Source organism: Homo sapiens, chromosome 8 (assembly GCF_000001405.40).
Source record: "Homo sapiens chromosome 8, GRCh38.p14 Primary Assembly".
Taxonomy (NCBI): Eukaryota; Metazoa; Chordata; class Mammalia; order Primates; family Hominidae; genus Homo; species Homo sapiens.
This window is the reverse complement of record NC_000008.11, coordinates 28,052,889-28,069,249: the sequence shown is the minus strand read 5'-3', so window position 1 is coordinate 28,069,249 and position 16,361 is coordinate 28,052,889. Positions and strand designations below refer to the sequence as shown.

Below are 16,361 nucleotides of genomic sequence, written 5' to 3'. Positions count from 1 at the left end.
GAACAAACTCACACCAGTAGTCAGTGAGAGGGTCCAGAATTCACCCCAGGCTGTGTGACTCTGAGCTCATGTCCCCAATTATTTGTCCTCTGCTGACTTGAAGGACTCGAGTGGTGCTGAGGCTACAATTTCTCCTGCTCAGTAAGACTCTGTGTTGCTCCTAACACTATTAATACTTCATGTCTGTATACATTGTATTTCTAGGATCAAGAATATACAATTTCTGTCCAGGTGTAGTGGCTGACACCTATAATCTCAGCACTTTGGGAGGCCGAGGCGGGTGGACCACTTGAGAGCAGCCTGAGCAATATGGCAAAACTCTGTCTCTATACAAAATACAAAAAAATTAGCCAGGCGTCATGGAGCACGCCTGTAGTTCCAGCTACTTCAGAGGCTGAGGCAAGGGAGTCGCTTGAGCCTAGGAGGTTAAGGCTGCAGTGAGCCATAATTGCACCACTGCACTCCAGCCTGGGTGACAAAGTGAGATCCTGTCTCAGACACATAAACAAACAAAAAAAAGAATATGCAATTTCCAGTGAATACAAATAAAGACACCTCACATCTATATAGACATTACAGGGATTGTGTGGAATTATCATTACCAAATATTTTTACATAATCTCATTTGATCCCCAGGCCAACTCTGTGTGGTCAACAGGGATTGATATTCTCCTTTGACAGAGGAGAGAACAGAGACTCAGGTTGTAGTGACGTGCCCGGGATTAGAATTCAGTTCCTTTGCATTCTGTTTCAATGCTCTTCACTCTAAACTTTGATGATCATGGCAATGTGCATTTTAAAATTCATCCAGAAATAGGCTTCTTGCCTTGATTGAAAAGCCGACAGTGGACCCAATCTACATTGCATTATTTGGAAGCACTGGGGCTGGGAAGAGCTCCCTGATCAATGCCATCATCCAGCAAGCAATGTTTCTACCAGTGTCTGGAGAAAGCATATGTACTTCCTGCATTGTACAAGTGAGCTCTGGCTGCTGTGTGCAGTATGAGGCCAAAATCCACCTTCTGTCTGACCAGGTAAGTGTTCCCTTCCTCCCTCCTTCCTTCCCTTCCTTCCTTTTTCCTTCCTTTCTTCCTTTTTCGTTCCCTCCTTCCTTTCTTTCTTCCTTCCTTCCTCTTCCCTCCCTCTCTCCCTTCTTTCCTTCTTCCTTCTCTTCCTTTTTTTCTTCCTTTTCTTTCTTTCCTTCTCACTGTCTCTCAGAGATAACATTATATTCCTTGCAAATACAGCTCATGCCTTTGTTGAATGAAAAGAGCCCATCCCAGGAGAAAGTTCATCAAGTGAGCTGGGGAGGGGGTCTAGCCTGGTCCTTGCATTTTTATGAGACTTTGGGCAAGCCATTCCCCTCTTCGAGACCCCAGATAGATGACCTAGATTTTCTGAATATGCAGCCCCCTGGCCCTCCACAGGGGGCAATGGGCCCCTCTGTTTGTCGGTGTTCTCTGTGTCTGTGTCAAGAGGGGCTTGGCCCTACTCTGCCTTGGCAGGAGTGGAGGGAGGAGCTGAAGAACCTGACCAAACTCCTGCATAGGACGGAGGAGCTGAGCAGAGAAGAGGCAGATGCGTGGAACAGGGATGAGGCAGTGGAGGAAGCCACCTGGAAGCTACAAATGATTTATGGAAATGGGGCAGAGAGTAAGAACTATGAGGAGTTACTGAGGGCGAAGCCCAAAAGGAAGATCCCCACCTCCAGAGTCATCACCCTCAAGGCGGAAGAGGTAGCGTCAAGTTCGTTTTTTCCTTGATTTCATCCTGGGTCTCAAGTCTAACAGTTGAACCTGTTTCAGGGGATGGGCTTGTGGTACAGTGTTTGTGTGAAATAAGAAATAAGTTGCTACCCAAATTAGAAGTATCCGTAGCCCAAGTTATCCTCATTATTTATGGCTATCAAATGGAAATTTTTGGTATGTGAATGGAGGAGCTCTTATGCCCAGAAAAAGACTATTTACAGTTGCTTGAGAATAATTAGGGATAGTTTGGGCTGCCAAAGATTTTTTAAGAAGACTTATAGTGGCTTAAACAAACAGGGATTTATTCCTTTTCTCATGTAAGAGGTTTGGGGGCAGTAGGGGTGGGGTTGGTTTAGTGGATCAGCAATGCCAACATCAGCATCTCTGGCTCCCTTTGCCTTCCGTCGCCCCCATTGTCATGAGATGGCTCCCGGAGTGCTAGACTTCATGCTAGCCTCCTGGAAGGAAGAAGTGGAGAAAAGGTTGGCATCAGCCACATCTCCCCTTTCATCAGAAAGTAAAAACTTTCCCAGAAATACCTCTGACAAATTTCTGTGTAGATTTCAGAGTTCAGAACTGAGCCACACAGCCCTTCCTGGCTGAAAGGGAGTCCAGAGAAAGTGAAAAGCAGACTTGTCATGATTTGCTTAGACCAGTTTCACTCCACTGCCTCCCCAGTCAGACAGAAAATCAGGATTCTGCTGGCATAAAAGAGGGACAGGATGGACATTCGATAGGCAACTAGTAGAATGATATTCTTGCTTTTATAAACAATGTTTATTTTAAGTTAAAATTCAATTTCTGAATTAAAACAAAATATTTGTGGAATCAACATTCAATTTAGGAAAGCTATACATTTAAAAACCTAGTTTTTCTTGTATCTCTCACCTTTAAATACACCTTTAAAATATTGCTATTCTATTTATAAATCTAGTGATTATTGGTAAAATGGGTACAATTTTTATACATGTCCTAAAGTTAAATGTTCAATGATCTCCTGATTAACAAAGCAAATCTTCCTTAAATATTAATGATACTTACATAATTAATCACATTTCCTTAGGCTTTTTGCATTACAGTTAAAGTTCAATATACTTGAGCCTCTTAAAATGTTTAAATGCTTGACTAGGCACACTTAAAAATCAAATGAATGAAACCTTTTCAAAGCATGTTACTATCTCTTGCATACCTGGAAAATCAAACAAATACAGTGCCCATTTCTTACAGTTTTAAGACGAATATTACTATTAAAATGATTACACTTCTAATATCTAAAACATAGACTGAGCATGTCTAAGAAACACAATGATTACAAAACTAGTTGCTTTATCTGAATACACGCAACTTACACAAGGGTATCAACGTCTTTGCCAACTCTATATTTAGAAATACTCCTTCCCAGCGTCATAAATTTACGCACGGAAACAAGGTGAACAGAATTACCATCTCGATGAGTGGGCTTACAAATTCAGGGTTTCCACTGGAGATCCTAGAATCAAGGCCTTCTACAACGATGTTTGCCCGGAACCAGTTTATTGGGCTGAGCCCTCTTGTAGGAAGGGGCTTTTCAAGCCCCTGCCTTTTCCTGGGCTTCTCTCTTACGGTATCTGCTCTATTTTAAAATTACAATGTCTTAAAGAGCTTTTATTATCTCCTCCGTCGTGGTTTATCATTTGGTTGAAATTGATGAAATCTCTTACTCCTTCCCCAGATTGCAACAAATCCAGCGATTTAATTTAAACTCTCTTAAGAACTGACATTCTTATCTTTCTTTCAGGACTATTTTATAGAAATTTATTTAACAGTGACCACCATACATCCCAAATCCCCTGTCCTCTGAAGTACCCCAGTTGCGATTTACTGTCATAGTTGCTGGCATGGATGTGTCATTGTCCCGAGACATGTTTAAGTAGGAACCGTGGTCTAAGAACTATTCCCTCTCTCACCCACCATCATTAAAATATTCTAGAAATGCCTACATATCAAGGTATTTTTTGTAATCAGAAGATAAATTTTAAAAACTCTTTTTAAGATCCAATTTCGGCCAGGCGCGGTGGCTCACGCCTGTAATCCCAGCACTTTGGGAGGCTGAGGAGGGCGGATCACAACGTCAGGAGATCGACCCCATCCTGGCTAACATGGTGAAACCCTGTCTCTACTAAAAATACAACAAAAATTAGCCGGGCGTGGTTGCGGGTGCCTGTAGTCCCAGCTCCTGGGGAGTCAGGCAGGAGAATGGCGTGAACCCGGGAGGCGGAGCTTGTAGTGAGCCGAGATCGCACCACTGCACTCCAGTCTGGGCAACAGAGCAAGACTCTGTCTCAAAAAAAAAAAAAAAAAAAAAAAAAAGATCCAATTTCAGATCAATTTTCAGTTTGGAAAATATGGTTACCATATCACTGTTAATTTTCTATAGTCATTGCTAGCTTTCTGGTAATGAAAATATCAATTACATAGTATGTTAATTTTAGAACTGAATGCAGTTTAGAAGATAAACTTATTATTCAGCAATACTATAACTTCCCTAAAGTCCCATTTTAGCTGACATTGGTTTTGTTTCATCTGTAAGGTAAGGATCTTGAACTTGCTCCTCTCCAGGGTCCTTCCTGGCTCTCAGGTTCTAGGTCCTACAGACCTGATTGCAGGCCTCCTGTTGGACGCACTTCTTACCCTTACTCAGCATACTTACCATGAACCTGCATCACAGCCAACCGGGGTGAACAGAGCTGGGTGCATGGCTGGTGTGTGTGACTCTGTCCTCCTTCTTCAGGCAGAAGAGCTGTCCATCAAGCTGGACCCCTACATCCGCACACAGAGGAGAGATTGGGATGGAGAGGCCGCTGAGATGCGCATCTGGCCCTTGATCAAACATGTGGAAGTGACACTTCCCAAATCCGACCTGATCCCAGAAGGGGTCGTGCTGGTGGACATCCCAGGCACAGGCGACTTCAACAGCAAGAGGGACGAGATGTGGAAAAAGGTGACTGTCTTTCGTAGGTTTAGTTCTCTCTTCCCTAAACTCCTCTACCCTTTCTCAAGCAACAAAGAATGCTCTGGTTTCAGCTTCAGGGATTTTGAGTTCATTGGAATTAAATTCTTTTAATTTCTATGTTCTAAGTCTCAAGGCCCTGGCAGGGTGTGGGTAGCCAGAGAAAGTGGGGAGGGAGGAATCACAGGATGTGACTATTGGAGCTGGGACAAGTGTGTGTGATGTATGAGAAAGACCAGCAATAGAGTGGCTTAAGAGGAAACAGAGTGACCAAGGACAGAAGGGAACTGGGAGGCCAAGTGTTGGGGACAAAGCAGAGAAGCTGCAGCCAGTCACCAAGAACCAAGAGGCTGCAACTGTGTTGGCTGTAAGCAGCATCAGCATAGAGCTGGAGGTCTGAGGAAGCTGGCGTGGTGGGGGCAGGGTGAATCTTCCTGGGTGAATGGGAGAAGGAGCATGGGGTCCGTGGAGGAGGGAGACTATGGAAGACATGCCTGGAAAAGTTCTGGGGTCTTTAGTACTACTGCTCCAGAGTTTGGCTTCCTGGGAAAACTTGCAGGAAGAGAGGGACTGGGGCATGTGATTGAGAAAGGGCGCGGTAAACAGAGGCGCTCTGGAGCACAGGGTGGGAGGAACACAGGAGCCCAGGAGCTGGAAGGGGACTGGGAGAGGGGGACCAGCATCAGTGAGTTGTGAGCAGCACAGCAGCTGCCAAAGAATCCAGTTCTTTAAACTCCACAGGTTTGTTTAGATGAATGATTGTGCCAGGGGAGCTTGGTAACCACGACTTCCAGTCACAATCTAGAGCAAGCTCTAGCCTCTGCCCTGATTGTACAGATGAAGACATGAAGGCTCAGAGAGGGAAAGTCACTTGTCCAGGACCACACAGCCTTGGAGAGCAGGTTTCCTAACTTCCCTGCTGGGGCTCTATCTACCCCACCTCCCCCAGGGCACGCTCTATATTATCCACCTCCTGCAGGAGGAAGGCAGTCTCTGTGTCCTTCCCCTTGGTCGGTGGCTCAGGCCTGGCCTTGTGAGCCTTAGTTTCTGCAAGACCTCGGATCCTGGGGTGGAAATCGCGAATCTTGGCTAGTTCCAGGCCCGGCCGAGAGAGCGACAGCCCAGGAAGGCTGCCAGGGCCTCTCGCTGGATGGAGCCGCGGCTGCAGCCAGTTCAGATACACTGGGCAGCTTATCAAAGACGGCAGATCTGGCTCAGAAAATGTGCTCTGAGGAGGTCAGGCTGAAGCGAGGGATGGTTCCCACCGTGCTCTGCCTGGCCCAGCTCCCCTGCATTCTTGTGGGTTTTCTTGACCTCCTCTCACAAGAAGTTACTCAAGACCCCCCTCTGCAGGGAGAACGACACAGTTGCCCTCCCTATGTCTCTCAGGCTGCCAGTCTTGCCTTCCCTAAAACCCGTTATGAATTCAGATGTCCCTGAATCTGATCTGCCACTTAGAAGTCACGTGACTTGAGGCATGTCTCTGAACTCCTCTAAGTCCCATTCTCATAGCGGGGGCCTGGGGAGATGCAGGTTGGGGGTGGTGGGGTGCCACCTCATCTACTCCTAAGTCTGGCAGTTCAGGTTTTATCGAAATGCTTTTTTGTATCTTCTGCGACACTAACTTTACCAAACCCTGGCAGTGGGAGCTTTGTGTGGGGTCGGTCTGAAATTTAACCACTGCACCCTTTATGGTTGCTGTCCTTTTCTCATGTTAGTAAACACTAAGCACCTGTGGCTTACCAGGACCATGGGGAATATGAAGGTGACGGGGGCCCTGCCCTTAAGGAGCACCCAGCCTGGCATCCTTATGGCCTTCCGCTGGCTGGACCATTCTCTGCCCACTGTTGACACTACAGAGCTGGAAGCTGCTTCTACTTTTGTTTTGTTTTGTTTGCTACAGCATCTTGCTCTGTTGCCTGGACTGGAGTACAGTGGCATAATCATGGCTGACTGCAACCTCGACCTCCTGGGCTTGAGCAATCCTGCTGTCCCAGCCTCCCGAGTAGCTGGGGCTACAGGTGCACACAACCACACTTGGCTAATTTTTTTTTTTTTTTGTAGAGATGAGATTTTACCATATTGCCCAGGCTGGTGAACTCCTGAGCTCAAGTGATCTGCCTGCTTTAGCCTCCCAAAATGTTGGGATTACAGGCGTGAGCCACCACATCTGGCCCAGAGCCCAAAGCTTTTCTAAGTTGATTATAGTTTGGGCAGCAGAAGGGCTGTAATGGTTTTTATTTTCTTGCCTAAATCAAAGTCCATTCACTTATAGAGGAGAGACAGGATCCATCGTCGTGTGGCCCTACTTGAGTCTCTTTACCGCTTGGGCTTCATTACTTCCCTATAATCCAAGGGGTTTCTCTAACTTGAGAAGCAGATGCTTTTTAAGCAGTGATGTATGGAGCCAAAAGGTTCCTGGACAGAGGGTAGAGGGCATTGAGCCGATGGTGGTTCTGGGTCCTGCACTCCCAATTCAACCAGAGCAGTTCTGCTTTTTAAAAATCAAGTTTATATGTTGGAATTCTAACTAAGATTTCATTTGAAAAAGCCTCCCATGCTAAAAGCAAGCTGAAACCCACTGCCCTGGATCAGGGTTTCTCAAACTCTTGACATTTTGGGCTGTCAGATAATTATTTGTGGGATGGGAGCTGGGGTTGGGCTGTCCTGGGCATTGAAGAATGTTTAGCTGCATCCTCGGCCTTTACCTTCAAGTACCCCCCCAAGGTTGTCACAATTAAAAATGTCTCCAGACATTTTTTGCCAAATACAGATGCTCATTGATGTACCATAGAATTGCATCCTGATAAGCCCACTGTAAGCTGGAATCATAACCATCATTAGCCCCGATTGTACTGGACTTACCAATTGTTCAGTAAACCCATTGTAAAGTCGAAAAGAAAAATTGTAAGCTGAATCATCACAAATTGGAGACTGTTTATATTTTCTGGGGCACAAAACCTCTACTAGTTAAAAACTACTGGTATAAAGCAAAATGATGATTTAATTTTCAAGTCACAAACTTGTCATCCCTTTGTATGCAAAGCACTGAGGAACCACAAATAAACTCAATCCCTGAGTTGAACCAGATTTTCATTTATGTGGAGGTAAGACAAGAGTAACAATACAATTAGAGAAATGTCACAAGGCTACACATGATCGTCATGTGAAAGTTGCATATTTAATAAAGCAACATTCATGCCATTATGTTGTTTCATGTTCATTGGCCTTTGCAACTTGTCATATGGTTTCTGGCTCCATGCTGCCATCTGGTGGCATTGAACTAAACGTGCAGGGGCAGTCAAACATCAAAATGCTGCCGTCAGGTGACAGCTTGAGGGTAGGTGCACCACCAAACCTAGTTCTGGAAAAACAAGAATTTTCCCCAGGGGACAACTGAGATAAAGCAAGCCAGTGATGGATCTGGGACTGGGACTGGAGGACTGATTTAGGGAATTCTGTCAATCTCTAATGCCACAAACTTCTGTGAAGCCTCTCCTGTGTGCCAAGCACTGGGCTTGAGGTGAGGTGGATCCCAAGAGGAAAGGTGCAGACAGTCGCTTCCCATCAAGGGGCAGAGAGCAGACCTGGTGCAGTCACTGTGTCTCAGAGGCGCTGCTTGAGGTAAGTCCAGGTGTTACAGGATGCAGAGGCCAGCCCAATGCCCGAGAGGTCCTCCACAGTCTTGAGGAACAAATGGGGGCTAGGCAGAGGCTGTGGCCAGGGAATTAACAGAACAAGGCACATATGAGAAATGACTCATAGCTCAGTCCAGCTAGTGCACAGAGTGCGGTGGGGAGCGGTGAGGGGTGGGACTGGAGGGAGAGGCTTAAGGGATACATTAGGGAACCGGTCCTCAGGAACTGTGACTCCATTCCTGTGCTGACACATGCCGTGGTCATGTTTTGCAGACCATTGACAAGTGCTCAGTGATCTGGGTGATCAGCGACATAGAGCGAGTTTCTGGGGGGCAAGCCCACGAAGACCTTCTGAATGAGAGCATCAAAGCCTGCCAGCGGGGCTTCTGTAGGGACGTGGCCCTGGTGGTCACCAAGATGGACAAACTCCACTTGCCAGAATACCTAAGGTATTGTGCTGGGCTTGCAAGGATGTGGGCTCCAGTCAGGGGCTTTCCTCTGTGGGTCCTGACTACAGTAGCATGGAGCTTGACTTTGTAACGTGGTTAGAGGGCTTCAGGAAGTGATTGTTGGGGAGGAAAGAAAAGGCTGGGTGACTTCCTGGGACATCAGGACCCTTGGTTGGGTTGTCTTAGGAATCTGAACCTTCCAGGGTAGCTGCTTAGTGCCAAGCTGGTGTCCCCTACACAGCTCTGGGGGTGCCACTCACATGTACCAGATGCAGATGGTGTACCTCCTGCACTGTGTGATGTGATGATCCCACCTGCTCCACAGATGTAGAAAGTGTAGATGCCCCCATAACTAGGGGGTACAGCCTATAATCCTATCTGGTAGGGTACAGCTTTTTTTTTTTTGGCACAGAGTCTTGCTGTGCCGCCCAGGCTGGAGTGCAATGGCACGATCTCAGCTCACTGCAACCTCCGTCTCCTGGGTTCAAGCAATTCTCCTGCCTCAGCCTCCCGAGTGGCTGGGATTACAGGCGCCGGCCGGTCCACCCAGCTAATTTTTGTATTTTAGTAGAGATGGGGTTTCGCCATGTTGGCCGGGGTGGTCTTGAACTCCGGACCTCAGGTGATCTGCCCGCCTTGGCCTCCCAAAGTGCTGGGATTACAGGTGTGAGCCACTGCACCCAGCCCAGGGTACAGCTTTGATGTTTCAGGTTTTTGTACTCCTGAGCTTTTTAAAAATCATTAAATTTTTATTTTTATTTTAAGTTCCAGGGTACATGTGCAGGATGTGCAGGTTTGTTACACAGGTAAACATGTGCCATGGTGGTTAGATGCACAGATCAACCCATCACCTAGGTATCAAGCCCAGCATCCCCAGCCAGAGACTCCTGAACTTTTTAACTCACTTGGAACAGGTCCTCAAAAGTTTTAGAACTTCGGGAGAAGGTAGATGCATTCTCTAAGAGTTGTATTATAACAAATTACAATGAAAGGTATGCATTTTTGGGCTTAATAGATGTTGATTTCTATGGAGAGCTCTGTTGTCCCTATAGTTAGGAAGACTATAACTAACCTTCTATATTGGGACAATTTTGAGAGTGAGAGGGGGTATGATTAGTCCTTAGAGGGGATCAGCGGGTATAAACTGGGCTTTCCTGGATCCATGGGGTGTGTGCTCACGGGATGTGATGTCACGGATGCGTCTCACCTCCAACAAGAGCTCCTTTACAGCCCCTCCACCATTTCCTCCACACCCACTGAAGCTTAGGTCTGACTGCTGTCTCCAGGAATTCCCTTGCTGTCATGGTCTGGGTTGGAATTGCAGCTTCATTTTTTTCCTCCTGCATTTCTCCCCATCTCACCCCAGCAGAGAATATCTCCAGCCCTCCCTTTCCAATGCCAACACTAAAATTAACACAATTAGGCTGAGTGTGGTGGCTCACACCTGTAATCCCAGCACTTTGGGAGGCTGAGGCGGGCAGATCACAAGGTCAGGAGATTGAGACCATCCTGGCCAACATGGTGAAACCCATCTGTACTAAAAAATACAAAATAAATTGGCCGGGCGTGGTGATGCACACCTGTAGTCCCAGCTACTCAGGAGGCTGAGGCAGGGGAATCGCTTGGACCTGGAATGTGGAGGTTGCAGTGAGCTGAGATCGTACCACTGCACTCCAGCCTGGGCAACAGAGTGAGACTCCGTCTCAAAAAAAAAAAAAATTAACATAATTAAATCTAATTTATTAATGATAAGCATTTATTGAACATAGGTAGGGGCTGTGGATTCAGAGGCACATTGCCCAGTCTTTGAGCTCACCATCTAAAAGAGGGTTAAAAGTTATACATGAAGGGACAAGCCAGGTGCTATGGGAACCCAGGGTGAGAGGGCTGCATTTTTGACTGGGACAGGGAGTGAGGTCACAGAAAATGTTCACAGCTGACAAAACGCTGGCTGGCCGTTGAGAAATGAAGGCACTTTTTTCAAGTGGATGCTGGAGATGGGTCAGAAGAGAGAGCATTGGGTCAAAGAAAGAACTTATGAAAAGGCACAGACACAGGGAGTGTGTGCTGCTTTTGGGGAAAGTCGAAAGACTGCAGTGACACATAGTAAAAATTAAGTAATTGTTACATTTTTCTAATTTCATTTCAGGGAAAGAAAGGCAGGAAATGTAAGTATGAACTAGTTTTTTTTATTTTTATTTTTAAATTATTATCTATTTATTTTTTATTTTTTTGAGACAGAGTCTCGCTCTGTCACCCAGGCTGGAGTGCATTGGCGCGATCTCGGCTCACGGCAACCTCTGCCTCCCAGGTTCAAGCAATTCTCCTAATTCAGCCTCCAGAGTAGCTGGGATTACAGGTACCCACCATCATGCCTGGCTAATTTTTGTATTTTTAGTAGAGATGGGGTTTCACCACGTTGGCCAGGCTGGTTTTGAACCCCTGACCTCAGGTGATCCACCGGCTTCAGCCTCCCAAAGTGCTGGGATTACAGGCGTGAGCCACCGCGCCCGGCCTGAACTAATTCTTTTTAAATAATACTTTTTATGACTGATATTACAGTTGGCTCTTGAACAATGTAGAGATTAGTGTGCCAACTCCCTGCTCAATTGAAAATCCACACATAATTTTTGATTCCCCAAAAACTTAACTACTAATAGCCACTGTTGATTGGCAGTCTTACCGATAGCATAAACAGTCGATTAATACATATTTTGTGTATGTATTATGTTCTGTATTCTTAAAATAAGTAAGCTAGAGAAAAGAAAATGTCATTAAGAAAATCATGGCAGGACTTGGTGACTCATGCCTGTAATCCCAGCACTTTGGAAGGCTGAGGTGGGCGGATCACGAGGTCAGGAGTTAAGACCAGCCCAACCAACATGGTGAAACCCCGTTTCTACTAAAAACGCAAAAATTAGCTGGGCCTGGTGGAATGGACCTGTAATCCCAGCTACTCAGTAGGCTGAAGCAGGACAGTCACTTGAACCTGGGAGGCGGAGGTTGCACTGAGCCGAGATCGCGCCACTGCACTCCAGCCTGAGCAACAGTGAGACTCCATCTCAAACAACAACAACAAAAAAAAAAAAAAAAAAGGAAAGAAAATCATAAGGAAGAGAAAATACATTTACAATACGGCACCGTATTTATCAATAGCATAAGTTTACTTCATCTGTTTACAAGATGAATCGTACATCTGAAATGACAGGCAACAGCAGCTGCAGACCTCAATCTACGGCACATATGAAGCGATTCAACTTTTTCTTGTAATGTCATGACTTTTCTCTGCTACTTGGGAGCCCCTCCAGGATCACTGGACTTCACATGGGTCCGATGGTGTTATTCAAGATTTAGGGTATTGCTCTAAACAGGCTGAAAAATACATGAGAACTGCAAGAGCTCACTTTTTATTGCCATACGCAATTTACTGGAGCAGTTGTTCACATGGAGATCATTAGTATCACATGGTGTTTGGCGCTTTAAGTGGATATTTGCAACACTTGAGCTCACCACACCAGCAACAGGAGGTGGCTCTGAAGTTATTACAGTAGTATAGTATGTACTACAGTTAATTTTATGCAGTTATGATTTAATACTGCATCTTAATGTTTGTTTACATTCCTCTTGACTGCCAATGGTGCCATGTAGTCTATAGATGTTTACAGAAGTTTTGATAAATTTTAACTTTTCATGATAGAATCGTGTGCATTTCGTGGTAGTACATTATCAAATATAAACTGGGATCTACATCTATTTTATGTATTCATGACACCTTTTTGTTAATTTTTTGATACTTCTAGGCTACAGGGTTTGTCTGTGAGTTTTTTCAGATTGTTGCAAATCTTCAAATCTTTTTCAATTATTGAAAAAGAATCCACGTATAAGTGGACCTACGCAGTTCAAACCCATGTAGTCCAAGGGTCAACTGTGTATTTTTTTTTTTTTTTTGAGATACAGTCTCACTCTGTCGCCCAGGCTGGAGTGCAGTGGCGCGATCTCGACTCACTGCAAGCTCTGCTTCCTGTGTTCAAGCAATTCTCCTGCCTCAGCCTCCCGAGTAGCTGGGACTACAGGCACGTGCCGCCACGCCTAGCTAATTTTTTGTATTCTTAGTAGAGATGGGGTTTCACTGGATTAGCCAGGATGGTCTCGATCTCTTGAGCTTGTGATCTGCCTACCTTGGCCTCCCAACGGGCTAGGATTACAGGCATGAGCCACCGTGCCCGGCAACTGTGTATAATTCTAATACAGTGCATGCATATTTGACTGTTTGGACCAAATGAAAATCTGCCAAAAAAATGTGCATCTTGCCACCTCATCACTGTTGATAACGCTACTCTCTGCATGCTTCTATTTCCTTTCACAACCTAGCAAGCTATTCAGAGTCAGCGAGAGGCTGTTTTAGAAAGAAATGAAATGATAAAACTACAAAGGACTAGAATTCTCAAGGAAAAACTGAAGGTGAGTTAATAGGTTTCTCTATGTGTTTTTCTGTATCCCAGCAACTAGATTTTGGGAGACAAATGTATGCCTGGTATTGTGTAGTTGCAAGGGCCAAAGTTTTGGAATAGACAGTTAGTTTCTTTTGTTTTGAGACGCGGGTCTCACTCTGTTGGCCAGGCTGAAGTGCAGCGGTGTGATCTTGACTCACTGCAACCTCTGCCTCCCAGGCTCAAGAGATCCTCCCACCTCAGCCTCTCAAGTAGCTGGGACTATAGGCATGCACCGCCATGTCTGGCTAATTTTTGTATTTTTTGTAGAGATGGGATTGCACCATGTTGTCCAGACTGTTCTCAAACTCCTGGGCTCAAGTGATCCACCTGCCTTGACCTCCCAAAGTGCTGGGATTACTGACCTATAGGAGACAGTTTGGATTTAACTCAGTCCTACTGCTTCAGTTACCTCTCTGAGGCACCATTTTCTCATCTTTAAAGCAGGGAGATAATGATATCTATCTCCCGTGATTGTTGAGAGGGTCGAATGAGCATGTGGTCCACAGAGGAGTAGGCCCAGGTGAGTCTGGGCTCTCCATACAGTGGAGGAATTGTTGAGTGCTATGGGACACGGAGGAAAGATGCCAGGTCACACTGGTGGCAGGAGAGGTGGGACTGGGGAGGTGTTCAAGGAAAACTCAGCCTCTGAGCAGAATTTTATTTTATTATTATTATTTTTTGAGACTTAGTCTCACTTTGTCACCCAGGCTGGAGTGCAGTGGGACAAACTCGGCTCACTGCAACCTCCGTCTCCTGGGTTCAAGTGATTATCCTGCCTCAGCCTCCTGAGTAGCTGGGATTACAGGTGCATGCCACCATGCCTGGTTAATTTTTGTATTTTTAGTAGAGAGAGGGTTTTACCATGTTGACCAGGCTGGTCACCATGCCTGGTTAATTTTTGTATTTTTAGTAGAGACAGGGTTTTACCATGTTGACTAGGCTGGTCTTGAACTCCTGACCTCAGGTGATCTGCCTGCCTTGGCCTCCCAAAATGCTGGGATTACAGGCATGAGCCACTGCACCTGGCCAATTTTATTATTATTATTTTTAAAGATGGGGTTTCCACTATGTTGCCCAGGCTGGTCTCAAACTCTTGGGCTGAAGTGATCCTCCTGCCTCAGCCTCCCACGTAGCTGGGACTACAGCTCGGCAAGCACCACAGTGCTCTGCAGAGCAGAATTTTAAAGAAGCTGTAGTCTTTAGTAAGGTGAAAAAGTCGAGAAGGCACTTTTGAGGCAGAAGCAAGAACACCGTTCACACAGGCTGCTGTGTTTGGCGAATGACAGGCAAGTAGCTTGGAAAGGCTCAGAGGGAGAGTGTGAGAGGGAGTGGACAGGGATAAGGCCTGAGCTGCACTTAGTGTTCTCCTATTTTTACTATTTTATCACTAAAGTAGGTACAAACATACAACTTATTATTATTATAGTCTTTTTTTTTAACTTTTTTATTTTGAGACAGAGTTGCGCTCCGTTGCCCAGGCTGGAGTGCAGTGGTGCAATCTCGGCTCACTGCAACCTCTGACCCCTGGGTTCAAACGATTTTCCTGCCTCAGCCTCCCAAGTAGCTGGGATTACAAGTGCCTGCCACTATGCCCAGCTAATTTTTGTATTTTTAGTGGAGATGAGGTTTCACCATGTTAGCCAGGCTGGTCTCGAACTCCTGACCTCTGGTGATCTACCCACCTCGGCCTCCCAAAGTGCTGGGATTACCAACGTGAGCCACCACGTCTGGCCTATAATAGTCTTGTACAACTATAAAACTAAAACCAAGTTTAAGATAAAATATAAACAACACAACATAAGGGATATATCAGAGTAAGTACCATGTGACAGATGATATGTTTGGCTGAAACAAAATCTTCGGTATTGGATTCAATAGTAAAAACATTTGGCCGATGACCAGCTCTATATTCAATTTCTTTCTGTATTTTGCCTTCAATAATATTGATACAGAAAATGTCTGTTGTGCAACGTGGAATTGAAAATTTCAAAGCTTTTGTTTCTAGCGCAATATCATTAGGCCTCATACTTAAGCCAAAATATTCTATCAGGCAATTCTTGAATGCCAGTTTTAACGAGGCAAAACTTAGTACAGCTGGTCTTGGTCTGTTGAATTGTTCTTGTTGGTATTAAATAAATATGCATTGTATGAGTGCCTGATCATATTATCCCTGGAAATGGAAACGTAGAATACTTCAATACACAATTTACAACTATGCCAGTAAACATGCCGAATTGGTTTGTATGAGTTAGGGCCTGGGCAGCAATACATCAGTTTGCAGGGTGACTATAGCTGTCACCGCTATGGTGCAAGTTCTTCTGAGGCCTAAAACCCACACCTCTGATGGCAAGGTGATGCCTTCATTCTCCAACCACTTTATTTCAGTTTGAATTATTGTGAAACCTTTACTTGTACTACATGCCGTTGTTTGGAACTTTTTTTTTTTCCCAGATGGGTCTCACTCTGTTAGCCAGGCTGGAGTGTAGTGGCACAATGATAACTCACTGCAACGTTGAATTCCTGGGCTCAAGCTATCTTCCTGCCCGCACTCCGCACCCCCTGACCACCACCAGCCTCCCAAGGAGCTAGGACTACCGGTATACCGGTATGCACCACCACATCCAGCTAATTTTTAAATTTTTTGTAGAGACAGGGTATGTTGCCCAGGCTGGTCTCTAATTCCTGGGCTCAAGCAATTCTCCTGCTTGGGCCTCCCAAAGCACTGGGATTACAGGTGTGAGCCACAATGCCTAGCCTTGGAGCAAATTTAGTTTTAATCACAGAAAACATGAGACAGAAGTTCTTTATAAGGCATTCTTTGAGTTTCCATCACTTTTTTTTTTGGCTGGGTGTGGGATAGGCAGTCACTTTGCATACACCTCAGTATCAAAACACAACCCACCTTCATCTACATGTGGATGTCTCCCTTTCCTAGGTCCCATGAAGCACTTAGGTGTTGCTTTGCAAAAAAATCTGGAATTACTGTCTACACCAACCATACTTCCACTAACATCAAGTATATGCCCCACGTTTCCATTTCCAGG

At 45.4% G+C, this 16,361-nt stretch overlaps 1 protein-coding gene across 6 annotated transcripts in view, besides 2 other annotated features; it reads left to right on the top strand.

The window, feature by feature from the left end:
* The window catches only part of NUGGC (nuclear GTPase, germinal center associated), a 61,973-nt gene that overhangs the window by 14,687 nt on the left and 30,925 nt on the right, over window positions 1-16,361 (top strand). For 3 of the 6 annotated variants that reach the window (NM_001010906.2, XM_011544523.3, XM_011544524.4), the window contains exons 5-10: window positions 812-1,034; window positions 1,506-1,736; window positions 4,519-4,728; window positions 8,649-8,824; window positions 10,974-10,992; window positions 13,196-13,285. In NM_001010906.2, coding sequence (NP_001010906.1) covers window positions 812-1,034; window positions 1,506-1,736; window positions 4,519-4,728; window positions 8,649-8,824; window positions 10,974-10,992; window positions 13,196-13,285 — 949 coding nt within the window. Of the gene's footprint in view, window positions 1-811; window positions 1,035-1,505; window positions 1,737-4,518; window positions 4,729-8,648; window positions 8,825-10,973; window positions 10,993-13,195; window positions 13,286-16,361 lie in introns of those variants that run through there. The other 3 variants (XM_011544526.3, XM_017013403.2, XM_011544525.2) reach the window with 3 other exon arrangements.
* Window positions 5,389-5,888: an enhancer, noted in NCBI's record as "H3K4me1 hESC enhancer chr8:27920879-27921378 (GRCh37/hg19 assembly coordinates)". NCBI's record gives its function as "activates a minimal SCP1, AML or CMV promoter by ChIP-STARR-seq in naive H9 embryonic stem cells {active_cell/tissue: H9 hESC(naive)}" and the evidence as "EXISTENCE:reporter gene assay evidence [ECO:0000049][PMID:30033119]".
* Window positions 8,564-8,729: a silencer, noted in NCBI's record as "fragment chr8:27918038-27918203 (GRCh37/hg19 assembly coordinates)". NCBI's record gives its function as "represses an EF-1alpha promoter that drives an FKBP-Casp9 reporter gene in an ReSE screen in phorbol 12-myristate 13-acetate-treated (for megakaryocytic differentiation) K562 erythroleukemia cells {active_cell/tissue: K562(+PMA)}" and the evidence as "EXISTENCE:reporter gene assay evidence [ECO:0000049][PMID:32094911]".